At 37.5% G+C, this 20529-nt stretch overlaps 3 pseudogenes; all 3 read right to left on the reverse strand.

Moving 5' to 3' along the window:
* MYO5BP3 (myosin VB pseudogene 3) lies at positions 867–2340 on the reverse strand (annotated as a pseudogene).
* CDK2AP2P3 (cyclin dependent kinase 2 associated protein 2 pseudogene 3) lies at positions 13970–14843 on the reverse strand (annotated as a pseudogene).
* On the reverse strand, positions 15418–15799 carry PTGER4P3 (prostaglandin E receptor 4 pseudogene 3; annotated as a pseudogene).

A 20529-nucleotide genomic window follows, 5' to 3' on the forward strand; every position in this document is an offset into this window, starting at 1 on the left:
TTTTATTCTCTTAAAAAACCCCAAACTTTTGTATAATAGTAATCCCTGAACTGAGTATTTTTGAAGGTTTTTCAGATAATCTGATGTGTGAGGTTAGTTTGTTTTACTATTCAGTTGTTTGGAATAGTAGAGCATTATATGAGGCTCTTACTGGAGGCTTAATGGTATTAAGAGATTAAAAGCTTTCACATTGTTTGGTTTTTACATCTATAAATAAAACAAGTTGTTATCATTTTGTAATATTTAGCTTATATACATTTTTGTGAGAGCTTTGTGGGACTTGGAAAGTGTATGGACTAGCATCAGACACAAATTATTTTTCATCTTTCTCACTTGGAGTTTCAGATAGCAGCATTTTAATCATCTCTTCCATTAAACCAAGATTACACAAAAGCGTTTGAGGACACTGAGGACTGGCACTTCTAATTTTTCTTCAGAAACCAGTACTCAAAATGTCTGGTTTGGAGGTCAGTTACACTGCTGTCTTTGTATAATCAGCCATTAAAAAATATTTTGGGGACATTTCTCAGAAGTCTCATCCCCATATTTTTGTTCTTAACACATCTCACCACAAACTCTACCACACCTATGGTTTGCAAACTTTGGGAAATGTCAGTATATGCCATTATCATGGTTATTAGTACTATTATTTGTTAAAAGCACTTTGAAGGCAATTTATGTGACTTATATATAGTTAGTATTTTAATCTGGACATTCTCCAGTTATATGCAAAGATTAAAACTCGGCAGCTTCATTTTATAGAATTGGCATCTTTTATATGGCTATGGGGACTGCTTGGTGTCTATAAATTATTATAAATTATTATGTATATTTGTTGGACTGAAATCAAACTTAAAATCTTCCACATTTCAAGTGCTTTTATTCTGAGCAGTACGTACAAAAAATAATGCCATAGTTGTGTCTAATTCTGTATAGTTCAGCACTCTCCACAGGCTGTCGATCTCTGATTTGATCTACTTTTACCAGATTTAACAGATCCTTGAATTTACTTTACTGTCTATGCTTCCTTTTTGCTCACATTGGGAATCAGACTAAACATGCATCTACTTCATTGAGGAACTCCAGATTGAGACATGCTGGGATTCACTCCATGGTTAGGGAAGATGGATAAAATGGAAACAAAACAGGAAACATGTGCTTGGCATCTAATAGCAGTTGCTGAGGGTCATTCTGCTCTTGTAGTTGTGCCTGGATCGTTTGTATAAAGGCCACTGTTACCTGTTCTTCAAATTCATTCAGGGGAGGCTAAAGGTTTAAAAGTTGGACAATCTGCTGGGTGCTGAGAGAGGCACACAGGGAGCAGATGGCCTCTGCATCCTCCTGGGTTTTCTTCTTTAATTGCAGGAGCTGGGCCGCTTGGACCAGAGGTACCATGGTCTGAACTACTCCACTCTGGTGAAGATTTCTTCCCCAAAGCCACTCCTCAAGCTAACTTATATTGTACCTGAGTTGCATGCCTGTGCTCCAAGAGCAGACGTCCTTCCGCAGGAGCAGGTCATTAAGAGTCACTGCGTTGATCATGTAGAAGAGCCGTTTGAATACCTGCAGGATGATCTCAGGGTCCAAGCCCTGGTCACACATGACTGTATGAAAGGCATTCATCTGGCAGATGATAGCTTACAGGTGGTATGAGTTATCCCCATCTGCCATGCTGGAGGAGTGCTTCTGGGAGCCAGTGGGCTTCACACCAGATAGACCCTGAATGCTCTCATTTTCCAACATGGCAGAAACTATCATCGGCTGTAACACACCCTTGGCAATTTTAAAGAGCTGCTGGTAGATCTGAATGGAAAGGTCGCTCAGTACCTGACGGTATTCAGTGAGGTCAAAGTTCTTAAGGCAGTGTTCGTTGTGCTTTGCAGTATTCTGAGTCATGAAGCCCTCATCCCCGCTGTACCGCTTCAGATAGTGAAGAAGGTGGCAGGTGTTGGATAACAAGAATGACGTCATCTCAAAGTCATCACTGTGCTTCTTCAGGACTTTCTTAATGCCGTTGGTGGTGGAGGTCATCAGGGAGTGCACCTTGAGATCATCGTTGGTTTGGTCCGCGAGCCGGATGCACATGTAGGGGATGTAGGCGGGGAGACAAGGCACTGTGTCCAACAGCATCTGGGGCTTCAAGTCTGTCACCAGGTTGAGGATGAGGAGGGCCTCGCCCTCTTTGTGGCACTCCAACATGCCCTGGAAATCCTTTTCTTTCCACTGAACTGGGACCTGCCTGTTGAACTCATGGCGCTTCCTCCCACTCTGGGCCAATGCCTGGGCAGCTTCTTCATGTAAATCTTCAGTTGCTTTTAGAGCTTCCTCTCATTCTTTTCCTCTTACTTTATTTTTCACCACAGAACTTCCTATCAACTAGTATGTTGAATATTTTGCTTATTAACTTTGTTTATTGTCTTCTCCCTCGATTAGAATATTAGCTACTTGAGTACAAGGATTTGAGCCTGTTACGTTCACTGCTGAATTTTAGGCTCCTGGAAGATACCCAGCATTCAATAGAGACCACACAATAAATATATGTCAAATAAATGAGTCTGTAAGTTCATCAATTTATTTGCCCATATGCATTAACTTTTGCCCATATACATCCAGTAAGTCTTGTTATATGAAATCAACTGTACTATTTGCTTCATGTAATAGTTTAAAAATACATATGTGTGTATATAAATTTATACAGAGATCATAGACCTAACTCCGTCTATATATGTGGGTATGTGATATGTATAAATATATACACACATATATGACTGACATATATATATAAATATATACACACACATATATATGACTGACATATATATAAATATATACACACACATAGATATGACTGATATATATATCTATCTTGTGTAAGTGGAATCAGGCAGTATTCAAACATACTTTCAATTAGTAATGACTATAGTTTAAATAAGAGAAAGTTTAAAGATTCTGATAGTTTAAATAAGAGAAAGCAAACATCACTACTACTAGTATTTGGGGAAAAAGATTACAAATAGAGATATGATAAAAGTGTACAATATTTTTTATGTTTGTGCACTTAGATCCATGTTCAAACTTTGGCTCACCTATACATGTATAGCACATTGGAATATGTGCTACAGTATGCCATTTATAAAGACTGAAAATAATAGTTTATAAACATTATTATTTATTTAGCAACCTCATAAGCTTGGTTTCAAAAATACCTGAATTACATAGCATAATCCCAGAGCTGGAGAACAGAACAGTAGCTGCCAAGGGTTAGGGTTGGTTGGAAGATGTGATCAGTGAGGGATAACGTGAAAACATGTACTTTGTTTGTGGTGATAGAGCAGTTCTGCATCCAGATAATGGTAATGGTTACATAAATCCACACTTCATAGATCTATACACACACATCACACATACATTCAAACACATCTGTACATGTAAAATCCTTAGAAATATGAATAGGGTCTGAACCTGAGTTAATGGTATGGAAACAATGTCAATTTCCTGATTTTGGCAACGTACTAGGTTAAGTTAGATAAAATCATTGGGGAAAGTTGCCTGAAAATAGCATGGTCATTCATTTTACTTCTTTTTTTAACTTCTTATGAGTCAAATTGTTTTAAAACAAAAGGTATTAAGCAAAGACAAAAATTTGAAAGTTCAAAAATCAAAGCCCATATGAATTTGGACATATGATTTGATTTCTTTTATAGACCTTGATTTCTTCACCTGTAAAAATGGAATAATAGTATGATTCCTATCTCATTATTGTCATGCTTAAATCATACCACTTATGTAGGTGCCTGTATATATATATATATATACACACACACACACACACACATATCTATATATATGACTGACTTTGACTGACTTAGGTCTATGATTTAAGATGCGGAAATTGGAATTTACCAGAACATTTGTGAATTGATTTGTTCTTATGCTTCACCAACTGTCATGGTAAAGGACACCTTAGCCCCAGCTCATAGTATGAAAACACGTAAATGCTTCTATGTGCCCTAAATTTCTCTTGGTTAAGCTTTATACTTTTTTTTTGTTTATGACACAGAAATATGATCACAAAGCACATGTGTACCACAATAAAAATTTCATGTATTTTGTCTCTATGTTATGTTTTCTTTCCATTTATGTCTTTTCAAGCTAACAATTCCTAATCTCCTAATACAGTGGGCCTTTCAAGCACTTACTTCTTTAGATAGTCATGTTCTTTTAACTAGGATCTCACAGATAAAGTTATCAAAGCATGGAAAAGGATGAAGAAACTTGACTCCTTCCCCTCTCCATCCCCCACTAAATTCACTTCATCCCAACCTTGTATTTGTTTTGTTCTCCTGGAAAAGAAAATATAGTCATCACCCTCAATAAATATACAATCTAGTTAGAGAGATATGACTTCAGAGTAGGATTTCTTAGTTTTGATTTTGATTATCTTCCTTTAGATATTTGGAAAGACCAAAATGCTGTATGCTTATGGACTGCAAGCAGTATGAGTGGAAAACAAAAGTAATAAATGTTACTTCTGACTTTATTATAATGTTAGGATTGTTAATAGTTAACAATTACTTACTGAAGGAAGATTTAAATTGAATATTTCTAAATGGGAAAAATTTAAAAAGCAGGTGAGTCCATAAATTTTAGGACCCAGAATCTACTGAGCTAAAAACTCAATGAGAGTTAATTCTCTGTTGATGTTGTAGCAATTCTTGAGGTTATTTCTGAAGACTCACATGAGAGCTAAACAATAAAAGAGGACTGAGACCACTTCAAGGGATGGAGAACACCTTCCTTTCTTGTTCAGATGATGCTCTGAGACATCGCTGTTTATTTTGACTGCCTCTTTTTAAACAAACTTCCACTTAGGAACTTAAAAACCACCTGAAAACCAACAGCCACAAAAAAGTGGGGAACTCAGTGTTTAAGCATTATTGTTCACCAGACACAGTACTGGGCACTTACATAAATGTTATGGTTTAAGCATGACAATAATGAGATAGAAATTCTACTATCATTCCATTTTTACAGGTGAAGAAATCAAGGTCTACAAAAGAAATCAAATAATATGTTCAAATTCATAAGGGCTTTGATTTTAGAAATTTTAGATTTTTTGTCTTTGTTTAATACCAATTATTTTTAAATAATTTGACTCACAAGAAGTTAAAAAATAGTAAAAAGAATGACCGTGTTATTTTCAGCCAACTTTCCCCAATAATTATATATAACTTAACCTAGCACATTGCCAAAATCAGGAAATTGACATTGTTTACATACCATTAACTCAGGTTCAGACCCTATTCATATTTCTAAGGATTTTACATGTACTCTTGTGTAGGTGTGTGTGAGTGTATGTGTGATGTGTGTGTATAGATCTATGAAGTGCGGATTTATGTAACCATCACCATAATCTGGATGCAGAACTGCTCTATCACCACAAAGAAAGTACATGTTTTCATGTTATCCCTCACTAATCACATCTTCCAACCAACCCTAACCTTTGGCAGCCACTGATCTGTTCTCCAGCACTAGGATTATGCTTTGTAAATCAGGTATTTTTGAAGCCAAAGCTCATGAGGTTGCCAAATAAATAATAATATTTTATAAAATGTTATTTTCAGTCTTTATAAATGGCATACTGTAGCACATATTCAAATGTGCTATACATGTATAGGTGGCAAAGTTTGAACACGGATCTAAGTGCACAAATATAAAAAATATTGTACACTTTTATCACAATATCCCTATTTGTAATATTTTCCCCCAAAAGCTAGTAGTAGTGATGTTTGCTTTCTCTTATTTAAATTATCCGAATTATAGTCATTACTAATTGAAAGTATGTTTTAATACTGCCTGATTCCACTTACGTAAGGTATCTAAAATAGTTAAACTCCTAGAAACAGAGTAGAATACTGGTTGCCAGGGTCTTGAAGGAGGGGAAATGGGGGTTGCTGTTTGATGGGTATAAAATTCAGTTATAACAGATGAATAAGTTCTAGAGATCTGCTGTCAACAGAGCACCTATAGTTAACAAGATTCTATTGAGCAGTTAAAAATTTATTAAGAGGATATATCTCATGTTAAACATACTTACTTCATTAACAGAAAAAAAGGGAATATTTTACACATAAAATTACATATATGCCTGAATTTCACATTTCGTTTCACAAATTGTACTGGTGCTTAAAAGGTATTTTTGCATTAAAAAACATCTAACTGAAGGAAAAGTTACAAATGAGTGATCATTCATAAATACAATATAATCCTAGGGACCGCTGTTTTTCCATTTTGAACACCCTCCACAATTAGTCTTAATAATCATGTTGACTGAATGCAAAATAATGATTTCTCAAGAGGCAATAGAAAATAGAGAATAAGTCCATTCTTGAGAAAATTTATAATTAGTGAAAGTAATTTTTTCATCCTCTTTTCTTATTTAAATCTCAAGTACTCTCTGCCACTCTGTGCTCTTCTTTCTGGGGTAAAATATGCCAGCTATCCACCGTCAGGGCATTCTCTAACCACTCCTCCTTAGAGATGTCTACAGACTTTTACTCAGCTAGACTGTCTTGTTGCCTGTCTTCATATCAACTTCGCAAGACGTGTGGACCATTCTCTTAGGCCCCTGCATGGCAGTGCATAATATATTCCATGCTAATTATCTAATGAGGTTCACTAAATTAATCTTTTATTATACCACATAAAATACTCTTAGATCTAACAGTACAAACATTTCCAATTATGGGCCGGGCGCGGTGGTTCACGCCTGTAATCCCAGCACTTTGGGAGGCCGAGCTGGGCGGATCATGAGGTCAGGAGATCGAGGCCATCCTGGGTAACATGGTGAAACCCCGTCTCAACCAAACATACAAAAAATTAGCCAGGTGCGGTGGCGGGCGCCTGTAGTCTCAGCTACTCACAAGGCTGAGGCAGGAGAATGGCGTGAACCCAGGAGGCGGAGCTTGCGGTGCGCCCAGATTGCGCCACTGCACTCCAACCTGGGCGACAGAGGGAAACTCTGTCTCAAAAAAAAAAAAAAAAAAAAAGAAGAAAATTCCAATTACATCACTCCTTTGAATTACATCCTAAGACTAATTTAAAGAGGGTATCACAAAAATAGAAATGATAGCGACAGAAAATGGTCCCAATTTTCACCACACTGTTGCTAAGACCACCTTGCCACTCATCATTATAGAATGCCTTTCAGGTAACATAATAAGAGCTATTTTTAAAATGGAACCTTACTATACCCATGTGTGACAGGCAGAGGGACTCTATTATCATTCATAGTTTACAGATGAAGCAGTTAGATTTGCCCCAGATCACTGGCTTATTCAATGACAGGCTAAGACAGAACCAAGTTTTATTCTCAAATAAGACCATAAAGAAGAGGATTGATCCAAATGACTTATAAAATTTTCTTACAGCCCCAGTAACAATAATAGATAAGCTAATGATTTCTTTAATAAAAATCTGATATGACAAGTAGAATGTGACAGAATCAACATGATCAATTAATCAGATTTGGGTAGTAGTTTGGTAGCTAAATGTTGGATACTCTTGGACATAAAGATGACAGTATTTATGACGATAAAGATGACCATTCCACAGTTTGAGAATTTCTACAGAGAGAGAGATGAAGAAAATTTCTGAAGTAATTGAAACTGTGTGAAGATGAATTATTTGGTTGATGAACTGCTATCATTCTAAATGGACTTCACTTTCTCAAAAAATAACGCATAAAGATGAAATATGTATTGAATGAAAATTATATTTTGTTTTTCCATTTTTTACCTAATAAAAAAATCAGAAAAACAGATTTTTTTTAAAAAAAGAAAAGATGACTATAATAGACAATGGAGACTAGTAGAGGCAGTAGGGAGGGCAGCCAGGGTTGAAAAACTACAGGGTACTAAGCTTCGTATCTGCATGATGAGATCAGTCATACCCCAAACCTCAGCATGGCACAATATACCTGGGTAACAAACCTGCCTAGACATTTGTGTAAAATGAGATGATTGCAGGGTAGTTTTAAAAGTCATTCCCCTTATGAAAATATGGAATGTTGTGCACATTATTTCATAGACTTTGTGCTTAGTTAAAGGTCTTAACCAAAAATTCTAAATGATTTCTCCTATTAATAAATAAATATCAATAACATCATTTTAATGGGCTCTATGAAGACCTTATTGTGTGATTGTATCATAATTCAACAAGTGCCCTATTGTTGAACACTTAGGCTCTTTCTGATTATTTCCCTTTACAAAAAATGCTATATTATAAATTGTTGTATGTATTTTTAAGTTATGAAATTTTTAGGGCAAAAGGTGAATAAATGTAAGGTCTTTGATAAATACTGTCAGAATTCTCTCCATAGAGGATACGATAAAGCATCTTTTCATTTGAAGGAGCAAGAATAACTGCTAAATACTTCTGAGACTTCCAGTACTTTTTTGGTTTTAAGTTTTTTTTGTTGTTTATTTGGTTTTTTGGAGGTTTTCTGTTTTGTTTTATAAGTAGGTTTCAGTATTACTAAGTATTCAGTCATGGTGGATATTCGAAGAATAATTTCTCTCTTTGGGATTATTCCTCTAACACTATGAGCAAGTATCACTGTGTTCTTTCTCTAAAGGAAAATATAAAGCATAGACAAATTAAATGCTGCTCAGATTCTAAAACTATGAAAATATAACAATGGAGAAACAAATAGCAAGTCTGTAGCTACTCAGTGACTTTAGCATTGAGTGGATCCTAAAATGCCTATTTTGCACAGAATGAAAAAGATACGGCAGGTTCCTTTGGAAGATCAAAGTGAGAAAATTGACTACAGCTTTAACAGCCTTAAAATAAATTTTTGGCAGAATGGAAAAGTATGCATAATTGAGAAAAGTACACTAATCTGTAGAATAAAATAGATATAAAAACAGGCTAAACCGTAATGCTGCTGCCTGTTCTTTTCACAACAATCTTCCACCTGTCCCTGACTGCTGTGTTTAGGGAATCAAAGTTTAGAGCTGAAAAAAATAGGAGGTTGGAGAGTTTAGGAGGAAGGCAGTGTAGGGCTGTGTAAATTGCAGAGAAGTCGGAGCCAGAAGACTTGAGTGGCATGCGATTGTGGATGGGCTATGAAATCTGGAAGCCTGCCTTTAAATACCAACTCAGACATTTACTAATCCTATGATCCCAGGCAAATACCATATCCTCTCTTTGGCTCAGTTTCTACATTTTTAAATAGAGATAAAAATAGTGCCTTACTGCCGGGCGCGGTGGCTTAAGCCTATAATCCCAGTAGTTTGGGAGGCCGAGGCAGGCGGATCATGAGTTCAGGGGATCGAGACCATCCTGCCTAACACGGCGAAACCCCATCTCTATTAAAAATGCAAAAAATTAGCTGGGCGCGATGGCTCACGCCTATAATCCCAGCACTTTGGGAGGCCGAGGCGGAAGGATCACGAAGTCAGGTGATCGAGACCATCCTGGCTAACAAGGTGAAAACCCATCTCTACTAAAAATGCAAAAAATTAGCCGGGCGTGGTGGTGGGCGCCTGTAGTCCCAGCTACTGGGGAGGCTGAGGCAGGAGAATGGCATGAACACGGGAGGCGGAGCTTGCAGTGAGTCGAGATCGCGCCACTGTACTCCAGCCTGTGCGACAGAAGGAGACTCTGTCTCAAAAAAAAAAAAAAAGTGCCTTATTTTCCCAGTGCCTGACTCATATTATTTATTAAATATTAGCCATTCTTTTATTATATAACTAGATTGGAACTGGGCAGGTCACCTTACCTTGTGTCTCAATTTCTTCAACTGTAAAATGAAGTAGTTAGACAATGTGAGCATGTGATATCACAACTAGATGTGAAAGTCTATGGTCCTATCACAACAGCAACAACAACAAACTCACTGGATGCTATCATGCTACCATTAGAGTAGGTTTGGAAATGATCCGAAGCCAGCAAAGTGAATATGAAAATAAAGAATTCAAAGCACAGTAGGGGAGAAAAGGAGAGAGGGGAAATAAGAAAAGTCACTTTTACAGATAGATTTTTTACATCTACATTTATCATCTGATACTATAATTATATCAAATATGTGATTGATTGCATAGGCAATAAAGTTACTATAAAACAGTCATTTGTGCATTGCAAGAAGAGTGGTTTTTTCCAACTTCCTTTTGTAAACCAATAAGTGAATGAGGCAGATCTCAAGTGATTTAGAGATTTTGCTTTGCAAGGTGGAGGATACACCTGGGAAAAGGGTCACAAGTCACAAGTAGGTGATGTCCTGTGCTTTTTCTAAAGAGGGTTTTGGGAACTTCAATATTTAAAGGAGAAAGAGGAAGCAGGCAGGAAACTAAAACAGGGGAGGAAAAGAAGGAGAGAGGGAAGGCAAGAAAGCTAATGGCTACATTCTTGTGAGGCTCTGATTAGTGCTCAGTGAATCTATATGTTACATGTGGCAAAAACAGGAGGAAGGAGTCAGTTGTGCATTCATCTTCTCTCTCAGGAAATCTACATTTTACATAAGTTAAAGTAAGCATATGAAATTACAGCTGTTTGGGAACAAAAGGATGGCAGTTTTTGCATGACTCAGGTTCCAAGCTTAATTTTCCTTTGTCATAGTGAGTTTGGGGTCCTGAGATTTTATTTTCCTTTCACACTTTCTACCAATATAAAGCTTCCTCATAGATGCCTTCTTTTTTCAAACATTAACAACCCTCGTGGTTTTCTCTCATTTTAAGTACAGAAAACATAATACTGTACAATAATTTTATCTGTCTTAAATACAAGACTGCTTATGATTCACTTAAAATAAAAAAAATGGCTCCACATTTCTGGCTTTTAGTTGGATTATGATTTCAACCAAAAATCAGAGCTTTTTAACCTTGAGTTTGAGTTTCACACACCCAGTAAAGTGGAAATATAGACTTTTTCTTAGGACAGTGTTATGACACTCAAAAGAATCGTGGCCAAACTTAATTACCTGTTGCAAACATCATTGCAGTTTTTTACTGAACTATCAGAGACTTTCTTGTGCCTATCACAGTGTATATGCTAAATACATATTACAGGGCCAGGCACGGTGGCCCATGCCTATAATCCCAATGCTTAGACAGGCCAAAGCAGGAGCATTGCTTGAGGCCAAGATTTTGACACCTGCCTGGGCAACGTAGCACAACCCCATCTCTAATTTTTTTTTTTTTAATTAGCCAAGCATGGTGGTAGGTGCCTGTAGACCAAGATACTTGGGAGGCTGAGATGGGAGGATCAATTGAGCCCAGGAGTAAGGTTACAGTGAACTATGATCACGCCCCTGCACTTCAGCCTGGGTGACAGAGTGAGACCCTGATTCTAAAAATAAAAAATAAATCAAAAATACATAAATACATAAATAAGTATTATGGAATCAACAAATAAATAAATTGAAAAAAGGATTGCATAAAATTACTTAGTAATGAGGCCTTTGTTGTCTAACCTTATATAAAATAAATCCCCAGGCCCCCGCATCCCCCTTACTGTTCTTATTTTTCTCCATACCATTCATAGTCATGTTATACTACATATGTATTTGTTGATGGTCTTTCTCTTACTGGTAGAATGTAAGCTCCATGATAGAAGAGATGTTGTTGATGTTTTCCTTTGTATTTTTTTCACTGCTTAATTCCCAGTGCACACAGTAAGCATACAATAAATATTTACTGTATGGATATTTAAGCAAGTCACTTCCCTCAATTCCTTCAAATTATTTATGTCACTTTGAAGGTAAAATCTCTCTTCTATACATCATTTTTCCTTCAATCTCCACTTTTAATATCTGTCACTGGCAAACATAATAAGTATACTCATTGTTCAGGTCAATAATGAGAAATTTTAAGCACTTTATTAAATATTTATTGAGTGTTCCTCTATAATGGACACTCTACTATACATTTCTGCCTTATTTGTGGAATGTATTCAACGTAATTATGCCACACAGGTAGACTTCCAGATCCTTGTGTCAAACTCACTTTCCTTGGCTTTGTTGGAGAACACATACTGTTATGAAGCTCACTTTAAAGCAAATATTTCCTGAAAATACAAAACTGATAGATATATGTATGTAGGTTTCCTTCTTATATGTCTTTTACAAGCAATGAAGTTGTATATCTCCTTTAGTGTTTAATGTGTTTCATCAGATAATGCCCTAGAAGTTTTATCAAATTTTTCTGTCCATCTTTTGAAGGTGTATGAGAGTGAAAAAATGCAGTCTGCTGCTTCACTAATAAAACTAGGACAAATGCCATTCCAACTGAAATATGTGAAACACTTGGTTTTATTAATTTGAAGCATTTTAAACCTCTAAATTTGGACTCGAGTAAAGACATTTCATAGAAAAACTGAAATATTTTTTGTTTATTTTTTAATCTTGATAACTTGTAATAGTTTACAGCCACAGTGGCAGCTTTTATATGTGTACATGCATTTAAATACAGTTTCATAAATAGCCATGTGGCAAAATATCTGCCTCTAGGCAAAAAAAAAAATATTTGCCACTAAATGAACATCTTTAAGTAATATTGAAAATAGATGTGAGGTAATTTTTTATCTAAAGTGACTGTAGCCTATATTAAGACATACTCACTGTAACAATTCAAGTTTTAAAATCCTTGTTTTATAACTCAAAAATGTGTCTTTTCCAAAAAACACATCTTTACATTTATTGCTATTGTACATTCATTTGGCAGGAAACAGGGATGTTTGATGTCTTGCAATGATAAAACAATCATATTCAATAGAAAATTATCTCACATTCTGCATGACTTTTGAACATTCTATAAGATAATTACATAAGTGAAAAACCAATTTGTAGATATCTGAGTGAGTACAACCATTTAATAAATGTGAATAAAGCATTTCAGAACATTTTAATGTACACTGCATTTTCTGATAGTAAGATTTTAGGTTAAAATAAGATTATACTTTAAAAAGCTTACCATTATAAAAAAAATTATATCACTGTTGGCAATGCCTTTTTCATATTTGAGATGCTAGTCCAACATATTGCATATCCATTTGTTTTTGTTTTATTTTATTGTTATTACATTCATGGTCATACTAAAATACACACACACACAATTAGGATTTTTTTTCAATAAAAAGCCCAAAGAAAAATGCTGACAACGTTCAGTTGAAATTTTGAAATTGGGTTTTATAATTCTGCCCACATAGCAAAAGCTGAAATGGTCTATGAAGATGTAGTTTTTGAAAGAATGAAGCAAGTAGTAAAACCAACAAAACCAAGTGAAAATTATACAAGGAAACACAATAATAAGTTAACAAAAAAAATACACTTTTTCTTCATGTTGACAAGACATGATTTATTCCTTTCTAATATTTTCCCATCTCTTATAAATATATAAGCTTGCTTGTTAATACTTTGTCTAACTCTAATTTTTATTCTGTTACCAATGTCATTAATACTTTATTTTTCTTTATTTCTCTTGTAAAGTGACTTCTGAACTTCCTAGTTTGTTTAAACTATCGCAAGGTCAGAAAACCAAACACTGCATATTCTCACTCATAGGTGGAAATTAAACAATGAGAATACTTGGACACAGGCAGGGGAACATCACACACTGGGGCCTGTCATGGGGTGGGGGGCTGGGGGAGGGAGAGCATTAGGAGAAATACCTAATGTAAATGACAAGTTAATGGGTGCAGCAAACCAACACAGCACATGTATACAGATGTAACAAACCTGCACGTTGTGCACATGTACCCTAGAACTTAAAGTATAATAAAAATAAATAAATACATAAATAAAATAAAATGAATAAAAAATAAATACAAACATATTAATCATAAGTAAATGAAACATCTGATAATCTCATTATGTCTGGTAGTAATGTCACCTCTGAGTATTTAAATATTCATCTACATATTTCTTTGCTAAATTTCCTTTTATTTCTCCTTTATATTAAACTTTTTTTTAGAGAGCACAACTCCAAAGCATCTTTTATTAATATAGAAAGGTCATATTTAGCAAAAGACACAAGGCAGGGAAGTGTCAGGCCTGAGGCCTGAGCTGTGCTGAGGGAGAAAGAGGCTCTGGACAAGTGCTGGGAAGGGCTGAGTGGTGGGGGCCACAGAAAGTTCCAGTGGGCAACACTGTCTGTAGGTCATGGGTGGGACTCACGGGGACCTCGCTGCTAACTCTTGTTGCGTTGGCGGGGTGGGGTGGGGAGGGGGGTCCTTAGTGCTGCCACCTGCAGTGAGAACCGCCCCTTGGTTCCTGGAGGGCACCCATCAAGGGACACAGGACAGGAAGCCCAGGATGGTTAGTGCAACTAGGGATGAAGGCCAGGGAGAAGCAGGTGCTCTGAAGTCCAGACACAGAGGCCTAGGAGCTTCCTGTTAAGTGTGGGCGTTCCGCTCTGTCTCCACCAGGCACTCTGACTAGGGATGGATGATACCTGTCTTCAGGCGCTCCGCGGCGCTCTTGCTGCCAGCATAGGTGGGCCGGATCCCTTTGCCCATCTCCCCTGTGACCAACAGCAGTTCTGTGTAGGTGCTCTGGGAGCCCTGGGCACCAGGTGGTTTCATGGCCTGCACACAACCGACGGTAGGCGGTCCAAAGTCTTTAAACAGCGGTCTGCAAGGGGCAGTGGCTCCCGGCCCTGAGCCCGACGGCGACGGGACGCTTCCTGTAGGGACCCGAGTGCCTGGCCCAGGGGTGCTGAAGCCGGGGGTGCTGCTGGGGGCAGGGGTGGTAGGTTTGTAGGACATCCCCAACTCCTGGGCACTGGGGAAGCCAGCAGGCTGCTCTTCGGGGGTTGGCTGTGGGACCGCTCAGCAGCGATCTGATTGGCAAGCGGGCTGCACGCCCCCTGGTAAATCTATATTAAACTTTTTAACTGCAATTTGTATTAATCTAAATACAGTTCAAATATTCTCCATGAAAATTTCACATTTGAGTTGAGACATCCTAAAATGTAAAATACACAATGGATTTCAAAGATTTCATATGAAAAAAGAATGCAAACTATCTCTAATAATTTTTATATTGATTACATATTGACCCAATATTTTGGATATATATTGGGTTAAATAAAATATATAATTTAAAAAAATTATGCTACATTTTTGTTAAAAAATTTAAATAAACTATATATGAAATTATTTCTTGGGATAGAAAAGGGGACATGATTAAATATTTACTTAAACTTTTTTCAAAAACATATCTTTAAAACACATTTTCAAACACAACAAAAGTATTTTAATTTTGAATAGGTAAAATAAACTTATTCCTGCTGAAATTCAATCATGGCATGATTTCCTTTGTATGCATTTGAGGACTCTGTTTATAACCCAGATAAAAACATAAAACTTTTGAAACTCTTCTAAGAATGTCTAACACAAATTACCTGTATAGATATCATGGCACAGACGATGCTGAGGCCGGACTGACTGAAGAAGAACAAGCTGAAGATGCTGTACTCACACAGCAGCTGGCCCCCAGGTTACCCGCCCTTCATGTACATGGCGATGGTCACCTGGCTCACCAGCAAAGTGAACAACAGGTCGGTGGCAACCAGCCGCATAACTGTGTAGAAGGTGGTCTCCTTCTGCTCCTTGCGCGACTTGCACAGCACCACGATGGCCACCAGGTTGCCCACCACCCCGAAAATGGACGGTCCCAGGCTGTCCAGCAGATTGGGCTCCAGACCAAGGACACATTGGCCTGGGAAGGGGTTAACATGACAGTGGCTGGTGGTACGCAGCCCTGGAGTGCGAAGCTGAGTCTGGAGATGGCAGAAGAGAGACAAAGCCACCATGAGTGAAATGACCACCTGCAGGGCATTAGACCCGCGCCCAGGAAACGGGATGCTAACATGACAAGGGAGGAACTCAATCCCACTCTCTGGATTGCAACCACTTACCAACGGCAGCCACCCAAATCTCCAGGCTCCCTCTGCTCCTGCCAGCAGCACACCCTTGCTGATCTTAATATTTATAAACTGAGCCTCCCATTCCTCTTCCTCCCCCCAGCCTATCTCACTCCACTGACAAGACCCATCTCCAGGGAAAGGTAGCTCCCTAGTATTATTCCCGACAGATTCTGAGTTAATAAAATGCACATTGAAACCCTGGAAGACAATTTGGAAAGTGCTCTCTTTCCTCCTTGGCTCCCCTGGCAGCGCCCCATCTCCGCGCCCTTTGCCCGATGGCCCACATCCCATGTCACGTGTAGCGGCCCCAGTGGTGGGGCCTAAGACAATGAAACCTAAGACTAATTGGTGTACCTGAGGGAGAAGTGAATTCTAAAGGCTAGGAAAACATATTTGGGGGAATAATCAAGGAAAACTTCCGTGGCCTTGTGAGAGACCTAGACATCCAAATACAAGAAGCACAAATAACACCTGGGAAATTCATCACAAAAAGATCTTAGCCTAGGCACATTGTCATTGGGTTATCCAAAGTTAAGACAAAAGAAAGAATCTTAAGAGCTGTGAGACAGAAGCACTAGGTAACCTATAAAGGAAAACCTATCAAACTAACAGCAGATTTTGCAGCAGAAACCTTAAAAGCTAGATGGGATTGGGGCCCTTTCTTCAGCCTCCTCAAACAAAACAATTATCAGCCAAGAATTCTGTATCCAGCAAAACTAAACATCATATATGAAAGAAAGATACAGTCATTTTCAGACAAACAAATGCTGACAGAATTTGCCATTACCAAACCAGCACTGTAAGAACTGCTAAAAGGAGCTCTAAATCATGAAACAAACCCTGGAAACACATCAAAACAGAACTTCATTAAAGCATACATCACACAAGACCTATAAAACAAAAATACAAGTTAAAAAGCAAAAACAAAAAACAAAAACAAAGTACAGAGGCAACAGAGAGCATGATGAAAGCAATGGTACCTCACTTTTTAATACTAATGTTGGTTGTAAATGGCTTCAATGCTCCACTTACAAGATACAGAACCACAGAATGGATAATAACTCACCAACTAACTATCTGCTGCCTTCAGGAGACTCACCTAACACATAACGACCTACATAAACTTAAGGAAAGTGGTAGAAAAAAGCATTTCATGCAAATGGACACCAAAAGCGAGCAGCGGTAGCTATTCTCATATGAGACAAAACAAACTTTAAAGCAACAGTAGCTAAAAGAGACAAAGACAGACAGTATATAATGGTAAAGGTCTCATTCAACAGAAAAACATGACAATCCTAAACATACATGAACCTAACACTGGAGCTCCCAAATTTATAAAACAATCACTAGTAAACATAAGAAATAAGATAGACAGCAACACAATAATAGTGGGGGACTTCATTACTCCACTGACATTACTAGACAGGTCATCAAGACAGAAAGTCAACAAAGAAACACTGGATTTAAACTATACTTTGGAACAAATGGACTTAACAGATATATAAGAACATTTCATCCAACAACCACAGAATACACATTCCATGCAACAGCACATGGAATTTTTTCCAAGATAGACCATATGATAGGCCATAAAACAAGTCTCAATAAATTTAAGAAAATTGAAATTGTACCATGCACTGTCTCAGATCACAGTGGAATAAAACTGAAAATCAACTCCAAAAGGAATCTTCAAAACCATGCAAATACATGGAAATTAAATAACCTGCTCCTGAATGAGCACTGGGTGAAAAACAAAATCAAGATGGAAATGGAAAAAATTTCTTTGAACTGGATGACACAACCAATCAAGACCTCTGGGATACAGCAAAGGCAGTGCTAAGAGGAAAGTTTGTAGCCCTAAACACCTATGTCAAAAAGTATGAAAGAGCACAGACAGACAATCTAAGTTCACATCTCAGAGAACTGGAGAAGCAGGAACAAGCCAAACCCAATCCCAGCAAACAAAGGAAATAACCAAGATCAGAGCAGAACTAAATGAAATTGACACAGCAACAACAACAACAACAAATACAAAACATGAATAAAACAAAAAGTTGGTTATTTGAAAAGATAAACAAAATCGATAGACCATTATAAGATTAACCAAGAAAAGAAGAGAGGAAATCCAAATAACCTCACTAAGAAATGAAACAGGGGATATTACAACTGACACCACTGAAATATTAAAGATTATTCAAGGGTACTATGAACACCTTTTGGCACAAAAACTAGAAAACCCAGAAGAGTTGCATAAATTCCTGGAAAAATACAACCCTCCTAGCTTAAATCAGGAAGAAGTAGATACCCCAAGCAGACCAATAAAACAAGCAGCAAGATTGAAATGGTAATTTTAAAATTACCAACAAAAAAAGCCGAGGACCAGACAGATTCACAGCAGAATTCTACCAGACATTCAAAGAATATTTTCTTTCATTCAGAGAAGAAATGATACCAATCCTTTCACACTATTGCACAAGACAGAGAAAGAAGAAACACTCCCTTCTTTCTATGAAGCCAGCATCACCCTAATACCAAAACCATGAAAGGACATAACCAAAAAAGAAAACTACAGACCAATATCCATGATGAACACAGATGCCAAAATCCTTAACAAAATACTATCTAACTGAATCCAACAACATATCAAAAAGATAATCCACCATGATCAAGTGGGTTTCATACCAGTGACACAGGAATGGTTTAACATATGCAAGTCAATAAATGTGATACACCAAATAAACAGAATTTAAAAAAAAACTCACATGATTTTATCAACAGATGCAGAAAAAGCATTTGACAAAATCTAGCATTGCTTTATGATTAAAGCTCTCAGCAAAATAGGCATACAAGGGACATACCTTAATGTAATAAAAGCCATCTATGACAGACCCACAGCCAACATAATACTGAATGGGGAAAAGGTGAAAGCATTCCCTTTGAGAACTGGAACAAGACGAAGAGCCTACTCTAACCACTCCTTTTCAACATAGTACTGGAGGTCCTAGCCAGAGCAATCAGACAAAAGAAGGAAATAGAGGAAATCCAAATCGGTGAAGAGGAAGTCAAACTGTTACTGGTTGCTGACGATATGATCTTTCACCTTGAAAACCCTACGGACTCCTCTAGAAAGCTCCTAGAACTGATAAAAGAATTCAGCAAAGTTTCCAGATACGAGATTAATGTACACAAATCAGTAGCTCTTCTATACATCAACAGCTACCAAGCTGAGAATCACATCAAGAACTCAACCCCTTTTACAATAGCTGCAAAAAACAAACAAAAAAAAAAAAAACAAAACTTAGGAATATACCTAGCAAAGTAATCAAAAGACCTCTACAATGAAAATTACAAAACACTGCTGAAAGAAATCATAGATGGAGCCAAGCACGTTGGTGCATGCCTATAATCCCAGCTACTCGAGAAACTGAGGCAGGAGAATCGCTTGAACCCGGGAGGCAGAAGTTGTAGTGAGCTGAGATCACACCATTGCACTCCCACCTCAGCGACAAGAGCGAAACTACCTCTCAAAAAAAAAAAAAAAAAAAAAGAAAAGAAAGAAAAGAAATCATAGATGACACAAACAAATGGAAACACATCCCCATGCTCATGGATGGGTAGAACCAATATTGTGAAAATTACCATTCTGTTAAAGGCAATCTACGAATTCAGTGCAATCCCCATCTGAATACCACCATCATCCCTCACAGAATTACAAAAACAATTCTAAAATTAATATGGAACCAAAAGAGTGCCATGTAGCCAAACCAAGGGTAAGCAAAAAGAACAAGCCTGGACGCATCACACTACTTGATTTCAAACTGTACAATAAGGCCATAGTTACCAGAACAGCATGGTACTGGTTTAAAAATAGACACATAGACCAATGGAACAGAAGAGAGAACTCAGAAATTAACCCAAATACTTACAGCCAACTGATCTTTGACAAAGCAAACAAAAACATAAAGTGGGGAAAGGACACCCTTTTCAACACATGAAGTTGGGATAATTGGCGAGCCACATGTAGGGGAATAAAACTGGATTCTCATCTCTCACCTTATACAAAAATCTACTCAAGATGGATTAAGAACTTAAACCTAATTCCTGAACTGTAAAAATTCTAGAAGATAACACTGGATAAACCCTTCTAGACATTGGCATAGGCAAGGATTTCATGACCAAGAACCCAAATGCAAATGCAATAAAAACAAAGATAAATAGCTGGGACTTAATTAAACTAAAGAGCTTTTGCATGGCAAAGGGAACAGTCAGCAGAGTAAATAGACAAATCGCAGAGTGGGACCCCTGACCCTGACCCCTGACCCTGACCCCTAACCACTGACCCTGACCCCTAACCCCTGACACAAACCCTAACCACTATCCCTAACCCCAACCCTCACCCTAACCCAGCCCTAACCCCTAATCCCTAACCCCTAACATCTCTTAAACCCTAACTCTAAACGTTGACTCCTAACCCCTAACTCTGACCCCAATCCCTATCTCCAACCTCTAACCCTAAACTTAACCCCTAACCCCTAACCCTAACACCAACCTTAACCCTAGGTTCGTTACTAAGTTTGTATTGACTATGTCAATGTTGATTATT

Source organism: Homo sapiens, chromosome 9 (genome assembly GCF_000001405.40).
Source record: "Homo sapiens chromosome 9, GRCh38.p14 Primary Assembly".
NCBI classification, from domain to species: domain Eukaryota; kingdom Metazoa; phylum Chordata; class Mammalia; order Primates; family Hominidae; genus Homo; species Homo sapiens.